The sequence below is a fragment of the Homo sapiens genome, chromosome 2, assembly GCF_000001405.40.
Source record: "Homo sapiens chromosome 2, GRCh38.p14 Primary Assembly".
Lineage (NCBI taxonomy): Eukaryota > Metazoa > Chordata > Mammalia > Primates > Hominidae > Homo > Homo sapiens.
Window position 1 is genome coordinate 110,126,156 of NC_000002.12, and position 13,241 is coordinate 110,139,396.

The window sequence follows — 13,241 nt, forward strand, 5'->3', positions numbered from 1 at the left end:
TTCACAGAAATTTCCTCAAATAAATAAAAACCCCAGAGTTCAATTAGTCCCACAGAAGTATGAATTTAAGACTTTCACTGTGCCATTTCCTGGCAAACTGAATGCGTGGGTGGAATATGACCAGTCTCACGGCTGCCTGTTCCAGGGTCTGGGTTCTGTGCATGTCAGTAGATATCCTCCTGTTGGCACCTGATATCATGAGTAACCTGAAAGCATCAGACCTTTCTCAGCAGGGAGGCCCTGGGATGAACATAACATATGGCACCAATAAAGAGATTCTCCATAAAATAAATGATGCATTGATAGAGCGTTTCTCAGCAGGAGATAACAGACTATGCCACTCATGAGAACATTTTGGAATGTTCATACCTATTACCACGTGAGGGGACTATGGTCCTCCACCCTATTAACTGCTGTGCTATGGGTCCTTAGGAGTTTGAAGAGGACCCTTACAGAACCAGAGTGTTTTACTAAACAGGCCAAGTGCCATTCTTCTTATTATTAAAATGTCATCCACAAACTGAACTGTGCTAGGTAAGTAAACTCTAGGAGGCTCACATGCTGTACATTTTAAATTTTATTCAGTTGGTGCAAAAGTAATTGTGGTTTTTGCTACTACTTTTATGGCAAAAACCACAGTTCTCTTGCACCAACCTAATAATATGGTTTAACGTGAGTATCACTTAGCAAATGTAGACTTAGTGTCTGGTAAAATTTGTCTATTTTTGTTAGTTACATGTCAATGTCCCACCTTATTTTTCATTCAGCCACCAGCAAATAGTAGGATGTTTCACTTAGAGTAACTCATTTGGGAATAGCAAACGTGTTAAAGGTCACTATTACCTCACCAAGATCCACTTCCTTTCTTCTGGAACAAAAAGAAGACTATACCTCCTTTGAAGTTAAATGGACCGTGTGACTGGTTTTGGCCAATGCAATGTGAGCAGAAGTGGCCCAGGCCCCTTTGAAGCAAAGGCAGTGAAAGCCCAAGAACAATTCTCCATTCTCCCTCTTCTGCAGGGAAACTGGCAACAGAGGCAGCTACTTGTTCCAGATGGTGCTGTGAGACAGTAGAGGCTCCACCAGCCTGTACCCTTGGGTGACTGTGGAGCAGCATCTTCCACTGATCCATGCTGGATACATACCATGGGTAAGAAATAAACCTGTGCTAACCACCACAGCACAGCCAAGCTTCTCCTAAGTAATACACTATGCCACGGAGAGAAGAAGGCTCATGGGTGTAGAAACAACCACCACTTTCTTTTTTAAAATTATCATAACACAAATAATTCAATGTGAAAAAATTAAGAAAATGTAGATAAAATAATCCAAGATCCAGAGATATTCACCAATACCTCTCTGGAATATATTCTTCCAGATCTTTTCACAGGCAGGTATATAAATGTATATATATTTATACTTATTATGGCTCAAATGGGGTCTTTTTGCTAAATAACATATGTGCACAACTTTACCCTCATGCTTTCAAGCAGCCCGTGGCACATTCTGGGTGCACCCAGAGCTGACCCGCAGGGACAGCCCCGGCTGGGTCATGGCTGAGCTCCATGGCCGGCCAAGTCACTGCACATCTCCAAGCTGTCTGCTCATCAGGGAAATGCAGATTTTAGACTAGATTAGGGATCCTAAGTTTCCTCCTAAGAACAAGGTGCAGATTCCTGTTACACACCTAGGGAAATATTCCTGTGGCCAGCACAGTGCCTTATATTAATACATAGTAGGCTCTTGTGAAATCTTTGTTGAAGAATCAGTGTATATATGTTCTGTGTAATGAATAATTATTATGATACTAGTGACTTTATAGGAGAAGAAAGAGAAATTCTGCATTATCTAGCTATAGTGCCAGACGAACTTATCTAAAATTACAGGAGATCATATGTACCATGAACATTTTCTTAAACATCTCTGTTGAAAATGTCATTATTACTATTGACACCCCCCAACCCAGCCAAGCTAGCATATGAATTGGTTTCAAAGTCTAATAAGAATCTTTGTAGATGACTGAGTCCTCCTTCTGTTTCTGCTGTCAGGTGCATATGGCCTAGTTTTTATCAGCAGGAGTCACCCCCTAATATGCTCACCTCCCTCCTGCACATGTTCTGCCTCTTTGCACTTGGCAGAGTTTGCCTAAAGAAGAAACCTTCCTGGGTTACCCACCACCTACCACCGCCCTCAGCCCCACACCGAGACTCAGGCTTACCTTGCCCATCTACCAACCACTCCCTTACTTGCATCTGACATGCCAAGCTGGACTGTCAGCTCTATTCCTTCCTGCCTCAAACGTCTGCTCATGCTAAGCCTTCTACCTGCAACGTCTTCACCCCCATCTCAGCAGGTCAAAATCCTCTTGGCCCTGGCCTTTATTAGGCTCTCTCATGCAGGACCTCTCTAGTGAAACAGAATTTGGATCCTTCTTTGCTGCCTTCTTTAAATCTTCAAGGTCCTGGGTTATACCTCCCCCATGGCACTTGTGATGTTACCTGTGTATCTGCCTTGCATGCATGCAGCTCTTCTACTTATTGACCCTGATGTATTAGGCTAAACCATATGAAACTGCCACTTAGGCCAAAAATGGCTGAAAATTGGAGATTTCATACGATTTAACATAACACTCAACAGTTATTTCAGACAGCAAACAGCACACATGGAATTAAAGATGATGTGCATGCCCTGATTCTCCCCTGCAAATTCAATTGATTTATCTTACAGACCATTTTGGATTTTTGCTCTTAGGACACAATCAGTGGCCATCCTAAGTCAAGGAAAAAATGGGCAAAGATTGCAATAGTGTACATAGCAGGCACTCCACCTGCTCCCTGGGTCAGGGAAGGCAGCCCTTGGGAATTTATGCTAAGATGGGAAAGATGAGGACTGAGTTACCTAGACAATGGATAGGGATTGGGAGACATCATCCTAGTAACAAAAAAAAAGGCCTAGACAGAACTCATTAACACAGAGTGTATAACTGCTTCCATAAGCCAGCAGGTTTCCATTGCAATGCATGCTACCCACCCTGAGAGCATCCATCACATCAGGCTGCTCCAAGAGCATGGGGAAGGTGGCCAGCATGGGATGGCTAATTAAATCTGAAATGCAAAACAACAGAAAGAATTTTATGCAAACTTCACTCAATGGATTTTATTGCAATAGACACAAAAATATTCAGATGAAAATTATTGTGCCAAATGATTTGTTGATAACACATTCTACACACTTTGACTTCTAGGAGAGCTCAAAGCTGTCCCTTCAACCTTCATTTGCCCCTATACCCATATCCTGGTGAGTTCCTGTACCAAATTAATGGAGCTTTTAGAGTAAGGGCAAGGAGGCTCTGAACAGAATAAGACTAGAAAATTTTGTTCTGTGTTTTTCTTCAACTTCTCTTTCTTCCTTATGGCTGTGGCATGGTAAAAGGAATCTTCCCCTTAGAGGTAGCCCTGCTCTTGGGAGACTGAGCAGAAACTAGGAAGCATTGGGGGGAAAGGAGACAGAGGACCTGCTGCTCAGGTCTGATTCCAGGCCACCAGCGCTCAGGGAAGGACCCAAACTTGTGTCTGGAGCCAGCAGACAGTGGTAGGTGAAACTGGAAGAATTAGGAATTGAGGATTCTGGCCATATGACCAAACACAGTGAGGGAGAATATTGACATTTCACAATAGATAACAGCACATGAAAAATCTGTGCAAAGAAGCACATCAGGAAAGACATGTCTTAGTCTGTTTGCGCTGCTGTAGTGGAATACCTGAGACTGGGTAACATAAACAAAATAAAATTATTTCTCCAAGTTCTGGAGGCTGGGAAATCCAAGATCAAGGTAATGGCATTTGGTGTCTGGTAAGGGCCTTCTTACAACATCCTCCAGAGGGGAGGAACACTGTGCCATCACGTGGCTGAAGGCAAAAGGGTGAGACGAATTCCCTTGTCAAGCCCTTCTGTAAGGGTCTCTAATCCCATTCATAAGGCAACAGCCCTCATGGCCTAATCGCCACTCAAAGGCCCCACTTTTCAATACCATTACATTGGTAACATGAATTTTAGATGGGACACACTGAAACCATAGCAGACACTTTTGAAATGGCAAGGGCAAGGTATTCTATAATCTGGTGTCCTCAGTAGAGAAAAATTCATTCTTTAGATATTATTAGGATATTTTATTCTAATGATTAAATTCAAATGAAGTCAACAATTCTGAGTAAACTTCTTACCTATTGGGAAAACTAACAAGCCTTATCCTCTTTAAGAGGTCACATCATTCATGAAGTTTCTCAAGAGTCATGAAAATGAATTCAAAGGCAATGGTGATTAAAAGGCTTACCCGTCCTCCCCCTTAGAGTTATAATGATTCCTTGAGAACTTTCTGCGCTTCTCTGCCTTTGAGTTCCACTTCTACCTATCTATCCAGGTGATAAGTCCCTGGGAGAGGACTCCTGCCTATGAATGTTATTTGTCCACAAGTGCTAAGCCTCTCACTCACTCTGCTCCATCCATACTGGCCTGCCTCAATTTCAAGCCCTCCAACACATGCATGTCTTCTTTCCTTGGGTCTTCAGACATGCTGGCCCCTCTACCCAGAAAGAATCCTTCCCCACACACTTCCCTCATAGGTCTAATTCCTCTCTCACATCTTTTGTTAAATATTACTCACTCAAAGAAGCCTTTCCTTACCCTACACATTAATCAAGTCTTCCCAGTGCATGTTCTCGTTGTGTATTTTCCTTCACAGCACTTATTTCAAAAGGGTGGAGAGGATTATTCATGAAATTATGTGTTTGAGGCCTGGGACGCCTATGCCTGTCTCATTCATCACTGGGCCTAGCATAATATCTGGCACATACCAGGTACTCAGTACATATCTGGTTACTGATTTATTGAACTGAAAGAAGAGCCAATACAATTAAACTGCTTTTCTTTTTGAAGGCAATTACTATAACACATGCATTTATCTTTGCAGGTTCAATCATGTATGGTGACTCATTGATTTTTAAACTTATTTTTTAACATTTTACTTGGTAAAAATTTCAAACGTACAAAAAAGTTGCAAGAATAAAGACAGTACATAGGACACCCAAATACTCCATATCTGGATTCACCAATTTAAACTAATCCATTTGATACTTATACTTCATGCACTAAGAACCAGCTATTTTGGTTGATTTTGGTTTCTCTTCAAAATGATTATGTGCATACCAAACACATGGGAAAAAACAGATTACTCAGAGACATTAAGGGAAAATATGACTATATCTGACTCTTGGGATCTCAAAACTCTAGAATTTGAAATGTGAAAATACATATGTTTGAAAGAACTGAATATGTGTCGAGTTCACAAAGCTCAATGCTTTGGATCTGAAGATGTCCCATAAGTAATGTATTAACATCAATGCTGTTCTAAATATTTTATTCCAAAAGTCACAACCAGAAACAGAAGATACAAGATGGTATAGGTTACCTTTACTCAGAGTATGAAGCATTACTGCACATAAGGAAGTGGCAAAGCCCACTTACCAGTACTTTGCAAGCTCATCCTGTCTTTCAGGAGCACATCTCCAAGAATTTGTCGATAAAATATCAACAAGTGAATAGAACACATATTTCCAATTAATGTTTCTGGCAGTAGACTATTAAAGAAGAAAAAAATGTATTCATTAGACAATCCCCTACAATCCAACTTATAATGTTTTGATGTATATTACTTTAATAAACAGTCCCAAATTTTGCTTCATTACTGGAACACATTTTTAACTATTTAAAGAAAAATTTCTACTACAAGTAGGCCACATTAAATTTCAGATAACTTTTTATATTTGTTTACACTTTCGAGTCTCAACCCTGTGTTGCCATTTTTGTGCTTCCATGTTAGCATATATACCTATGTTAAATGTCAAATAAAAACGGGAAGCCACTAATTATGTTTTGGAAAGAAGGGGACTAGTCAGCTACAAGCTTTAACAAAGGCATGTGGCTGCCATGCCTGATTTGGTGAATGCAGAAGAAATAATTCAGGCTGTTCACAGTACTGGGTGGAACATGGGAGGGTGTGACAGACCTGGAATAAGTCCTGACTTTGTCACTTCTTAGCTATGTGACTTTAAATTAATTAATTCATCTCCTTGTGCTTTGGTTTCCTCATTTATTGGATACCAATAGTAATACTTGCATTTCAGAAGGTTACTAAAAGGATTAAAATGAAGTAAGTGTGGGCTGGGCATGGTGGCTCACACCTGTAATCCTAACACTTTGGGAGGCCGAGACAGGTGAATCACTTGAGGTCAGGAGTTTGAGACCAGCCTGGCCAACATGGTGAAACCATATCTCTGCTGAAAATACAAAAATTAGCCAGGTTTGGTGGCGGGCACCTGTAATCCCAGCTACTCAGAGGCCAAGGCAGAAGAATCCCTTGAGCCTGGGCGGTGGATGTTGCCATGAGCCAAGATTGTGCCACTGCACTCCAACCTGGGTGACACAGCAAGACTCTGTCTCAAAACAAAACAACAACAACAAATGAAATAAGTATGGAGTGCTTAATGTAGTGTCTGGTATACAGTAAGGGCTAAAAAATAGAAAATAATTCAACATCGAAGTTAAATTGGTATCAGTTTAAGATAGACTGCTATAACCTAAGGATGTTGTATGCAATACCAAGTTAAGTTGGTATTAGTTTAAAATAGATTGTTATAACTTTAGGATGTTATATGTAATACCATGGTAACCACAAAGAAAATAACTATAGAATATTTTCAAATGGAAAGTAAAAGGGAATCAAAATTTGTCACTATGAAAAATCAAACACAAAGAAAATCAGTGAGGGAGGAAATTAAGAACAAAAAAAGCTATAAGATAAGCAGCAAATGAGTAATAAAATGGCAAAAGTAAGTCCTTCTCTATTAGTAATCACTTTAAATGTAAATAAATTAGACTCCTCAATCAAAAGATACAGATTGGCAGGATGCACTAAAAAAACACGATTTAATTATATGTTATCTATAAGAGACTCACGGTAGACTTAGGACACTCATGGGTAGAAAGTGAAAGAACAGAAAAAAAATTTCATGCAAATAGCAACTAAAAGAGAACATGTTTAGCCATATTAATATCAGACAAAATAGACTTCAAGCCCCCCAAAAGTTACAAGAGACAAAGGATATTGTACAATCATAAAACAGTCAATTCAGAATATATAACAATTATAAACATATATGCACCAAACATCAGTGCTCCTAAATATATGAAGCAAACACTGACAGAATTGAAGGGAGCAATACATAGATCTATAATAATAGAGAAGATTTCAATATCCTACTTTCGATAAGGTATAGAACAATGAAACAGAAGATCAATAACACTGTAGACTAATTGGATCTAGCTGACATTTACAAAACACTCTACCCGGCAACAGCAGAATACACATTTTTCTCAAGTGCACATGACATATTCTCCAGGAAAGACCATATGTTGAGTCACAAAGTAAGTCTTAATAAATTTAAAAATATTGAAATCATACAAAATATCTTTTTTCAATCATAATGAAATGAAACTAGAAATCAAAAGCAGAAGGAAAACTGGAAAACACATAAATATGTGGAAATTAAACAACATACTTAAACAACAATGGCTCAAAGAAGAAATCTCAAGAGAAACTAGAAAATATCTTGAGAAATGAAATGAAAACACAACATACCAAAATTTACAAGATACAGTGAAAACAGTCCTAAGAGGGAAATTTATAGCTATAAATACTTAACATTAAAAAAGAAGGAAGAGCTCAAGTCAACAACCTAACTTTATGCCCTAAGGAACTAGAAGAACAAAACTAGCAGAAGGAAGAAATAATAAAGATTAGGTCAGATATAGACAAAATAAAGAATAGAAAAACAATAGAGAAAATCAATGAAAGCAAGACTCTGTTCTTTGAAAAGATGAACAAAATTGACAAACCTTTAGTGAGAATGACTAAGGAACACTCAACTAAAATCAGAAATGAAAGAGGGGATATTACTATTGATTTTACAGAAATAAAAAATGTGTAAGAGAGTACTATAAATAGTTGTATGCCAACAAGTTGGATGACCTAAATGAAACAGGCACATTTCTAGAAATACACAACCTACTAAGGCTGAATCACAAAGAAATAGAAAATCTCAATAACAAGTAAGGAGATTGAATCAGTAATTTAAAAAATCTCCTGATAAAGAAAAGCCCAGCATCAGATGGCTTCACTGGAGAATTCTACCAAACCTTTAAAGAAGAATTAACACCAATTTTCCTCAAACTTTTCCAAAAAATGAAGAGGAAAAAACACTATCAAACTCATTATGAGGTCAGAATTACCCTAGTAAAAAAGCCAACAATACTACAAGAAAAAAAAAAAAAAACTACAGGCCAATATTCCTGAATATTGATGCAAAATCCTCAACAAAATACTAGCAAAGTGAATTCAACAGCACATTAAAAAGCTTGTACACCATGACCAAGTCAAATTTATTAATGAAATTCAAGGATGGCTCAACATCCAAAAATCAATCAACATAATGTGCTACATTAACAGAATTAAGGGGAAAAACCCACATTATTTTCTCAATTGATGCTGAGAAAGCCTAAAATTTGACACCCTTTCATGATAAAAACACTCAACAAACTAGGAATAGAAAGAAACTACTGCAACATAATAAAGGCCATATATGAAAAGCCCACAGCTAACATCATACTCAGTGGTGAAACACTGAAAGCTTTTCCTCTAAGATAAGGAACAAGACAAGGATCCTGCTCCTGCCACTTTTACTCAACACAATAATGGAAATATTTTTCTAAAAAAAGAAAAGTGTCTTTGTTTGCAGACAAAATGATGTAGAAATATGTAGAATATATGTAGAAAACCCTAAATACTCCATGAAAAATACCTTCAGAATAAATGACTAGCAAAGTTGCAGAATACAAAATCAACACGTAAAAATCGTACTTTATACACTAACAATGCACAATTTGAGAAGGAAACCAACAAAACAATTTACAATAGCATCAAAAAATAGTCAGAAATTTAAAAATATAAAAAATTTCAATATTTAGATTTCAAAATAATAATCTGGAAACATGAAAAGTGAGTTCTTCCATCTTGGCTAACACGGTGAAACCCCGTTTCTACTAAAAATACAAAAAATTAGCTGGGCGTGTTGGCAGGCGCCTGTAGTCCCAGCTACTTGGGAGGCTGAGGCAGGAGAATGGCGTGAACCCGGGAGGCGGAGCTTGCAGTGAGCCGAGATTGCGCCACCGCACTCCAACCTGGGAGACACAGCGAGACCCCGTCTCAAAAAAAAAAAAAAAAAAAAAAAAAAAAGTGAGTTCTTTAAGACCCTCACACATGATGTATAGTAAATACTGGGAATGTATCATGCACAAGATTTAACCTTTGAAAGTACTCAAGAAAATATCTTAGATCATTCTAATATATATTTCTAATACTATTTTTAGAAATATATAAACTCTGTCATTAAGCATGAGGAAGGACCATATAGAAAATCTCAAAAACCTTACAAATGATATGTTGTCTTCTATCAAAAGGAAGATGTCTTTGGGCTGAGAAAAATCACCAAAGATTTAAAAAGAGATCTTACTTTTTGTAAATTAATCCTTTATCTTAATTCCTAAGATTAGATTTTTAGAAGGGAAAATTATCACAGAGGTAATATTCAGGCTTCCAGCCTGTTGGAAGAGAACAGGATGAATGTGACCACTGTGATGAGGTGACAGCAATGGATTCCACGAGTAATTAAGCTTCATGGAATGCATCAAAAAGCTTATCCACCATGATCAAGTGGGCTTCATCCCTGGGATGCAAGACTGGTTCAACATATGCAAATCAATAAATGTAATCCAGCATATAAACAGAACCAATGACAAAAACCACATGATTATCTCAATAGATGCAGAAAAGGCCTTTGACAAAATTCAACATCCCTTCATGCTAAAAACTCTCAATAAATTAGGTATTGATGGGACGTATCTCAAAATAATAAGAGCTATCTATGACAAACGCACAGCCAATATCATAATGAATGGACAAAAACTGGAAGCATTCCCTTTGAAAACTGGCACAAGACAGGGATGTCCTCTCTCACCACTCCTATTCAACATAGTGTTGGAAGTTCCGACCAGGGCAATCAGGCAGGAGAAGGAAATAAAGGGTATTCAATTAGGAAAAGAGGAAGTCAAATTGTCCCTGTTTGCAGATGACATGATTGTATATCTAGAAAACCCCATTGTCTCAGCCCAAAATCTCCTTAAGCTGATAGGCAACTTCAGCAAAGTCTTAGGGTACAAAATCCACGTGCAAAAATCACAAGCATTCTTATACACCAATAACAGACAAACAGAGAGCCAAATCATGAGTGAACTCCCATTCACAATTGCTACAAAGAGAATAAAATACCTAGGAATCCAACTTACAAGGGATGTGAAGGACCTCTTCAAGGAGAAATACAAACCACTGCTCAATGAAATAAAAGAGGATACAAACAAATGGAAGAACATTCCATGCTCATGGACAGGAAGAATCAATATTGTGAAAATGGCTATACCGCCCAAGGTAATTTATAGATTCAATGCCATCCCCATCAAGCTACCAATGACTTTCTTCACAGAATTAGAAAAAACTACTTTAAAGTTCACATGGAACCAAAAAAGAGCCCGCATTGCCAAGTCAATCCTAAGCCAAAAGAACAAAGCTGGAGGCATCACGCTACCTGACTTCAAACTATACTACAAGGCTACAGTAACCAAAACAGCACAGTACTGGTACCAAAACAGAGATATAGACCTATGGAACAGAACAGAGCCCTCAGAAATAATGCCGCATATCTACAACCATCTGATCTTTGACAAACCTGACAAAAACAAGCAATGGGGAAAGGATTCCCTATTTAATAAATGGTGCTGGGAAAACTGGCTAGCCATATGTAGAAAGCTGAAACTGGATCCCTTCCTTACACCTTATACAAAAATTAATTCAAGATGGATTAAAGACTTAAATGTTAGACCTAAAACCATAAAAACCCTAGAAGAAAACCTAGGCAATCTCATTCAGGACATAGGCATGGGCAAGGACTTCATGTCTAAAACACCAAAAGCAATGGCAACCAAAGCCAAAATTAACAAATGGGATCTAATTAAACTAAAGAGCTCCTGCACAGCAAAAGAAACTACCATCAGAGTGAACAGGCAACCTACAGAATGGGAGAAAATTGTTGCAATCTACTCATCTGACAAAGGGCTAATATACAGAATCTACAGTGAACTCAGACAAATTTACAAGAAAAAAACAAACAACCCCATCAAAAAGTGGGCGAAGGATATGAACAGACACTTCTCAAAAGAAGACATTTATGCAGCCAAAAAACACATGAAAAAATGCTCATGATCACTGGCCATCAGAGAAATGCAAATCAAAACCACAATGAGATACCATCTCACACCAGGTAGAACAGTCATCATTAAAAAGTCAGGAAACAACAGGTGCTGGAGAGGATGTGGAGAAATAGGAACACTTTTACACTGTTGGTGGGACTGTAAACTAGTTCAACCATTGTGGAAGTCAGTGTGGTGATTCCTCAGGGATCTAGAACTAGAAATACCATTTGACCCAGCCATCCCATTACTGGGTATATACCCAAAGGATTATAAATCATGCTGCTATAAAGACACATGCACACGTATGTTTATTGCGGCACTATTCACAATAGCAAAGACTTGGAACCAACCCAAATGTCCAACAATGATAGACTGGATTAAGAAAATGTGGCACATATACACCATGGAATACTATGCAGCCATAAAAAATGATGAGTTCATGTCCTTTGTAGGGACATGGATGAAGCTGGAAACCATCATTCTCAGCAAACTATCGCAAGACAAAAAACCAAACACCGCATGTTCTCACTTATAGGTGGGAATTGAACAATGAGAACACACGGACACAGGAAGGGGAACATCATACACCGGGGCCTGTTGTGGGGTGGGGTGGGGGAGGGATAGCATTAGGAGATATACCTAATGTTAAATGATGAGTTAATGGGTGCAGCACACCAACATGGCACATGTATACATATGTAACTAACCTGCACGTTCTGCACATGTACCCTAAAACTTATAATAAAAAAAAAAGTTTCATGGAATTAAAGAAGTATCCTTGACCACTCTTTAAATCCTGAATTTCTAGAAACATCTAAAAATATAATACAGGTTCTCTTAGCACAGTTATCTTGATATACAGCATGTGATACATAAGGTCAGAAACTGTCTTTTTTAAACTGTCTTTTTTCAACCTGGCTAAATTCTGATCTTGTATACATTTGACCTACATTTTAAAGACGGGATGCAGGGGACCATTTCAGCTGCCTCAGTGTCACCACATGCTTTCTCAGGGATCAGGCTCTGATTCTGGGTTGTTCTGGGACCATGGACATGTTCATGAGCAAGGGGCAGAACGACCTGAGCATGAACAACATGCTCATGTTCTGCCCTTTGGTCCACGGTCCCATTGCACAGTGTTTCAGCTGCATGCCCAAACTCAGGGCTCATGATGAAGAACAGCCAAGGTTTTGCCAGGGAAAGGGGTGGGAACTTCCTTCCTTCTGCTTGGCCCTCTCCTTTTCTCGTAGACCTGCCTGCTTTGCCTGGCAGGCATTGGTCCACCCAGTGTGGGCACTCCTTTCCTTCTGGCACTTTCTCACAACATGAAGCAATGCTGCTTGCCCTTTATTAGATATTCTTTAGAGAAAGCATCTGATTTTCCCAAACTTAAGACGAATAGAAAGTTCTGGGCTGCTAAAGGTTAGCTGAATTAAGTAAGTAAAAATATACTTCCTCCTGAATTCACATGTAGACCAGCAAACTCTGGCAATGAACACAATGAATGGGTCTCAAGCATTCAAGCAACTAACATTATTACCTTATTTATTTTTAGCAACGATATAATGAAAGTAAAGGAGAAAAAAGATGGAATGCATCAAAAAAAAGGATAATGAATTTATAGCAAATTTACACACACACACACACACACACACACACGCAACCTACTTCTCCAGATCAGGGTTTCTTGATATTTAGAACTCATGCACTGAAAATCTGAAGTCAAATTCAGGGCTTTCCCTCCTCAGGGGTTTATACACATGCTTTTGGTCAAATCACATCAAGTTAAACCCTTTTGAAAAATAGCTCCAAAAGACAAATCT

The 13,241-nt window shown here is 38.5% G+C and overlaps 1 protein-coding gene across 10 annotated transcripts in view; it reads right to left on the reverse strand.

Annotated features, from left to right (window-relative positions):
- The window catches only part of NPHP1 (nephrocystin 1), an 81,666-nt gene that overhangs the window by 2,808 nt on the left and 65,617 nt on the right, over window positions 1-13,241 (reverse strand). For all 10 annotated transcript variants that reach the window (NM_001128179.3, NM_001374256.1, XM_005263677.2 and 7 more), the window contains 2 exons: window positions 5,524-5,636; window positions 3,031-3,104 (listed from right to left, as the gene is read on the reverse strand). In NM_001128179.3, the coding sequence (NP_001121651.1) occupies window positions 3,031-3,104; window positions 5,524-5,636 (187 nt within the window). The remainder of the gene's footprint in view (window positions 1-3,030; window positions 3,105-5,523; window positions 5,637-13,241) is intronic.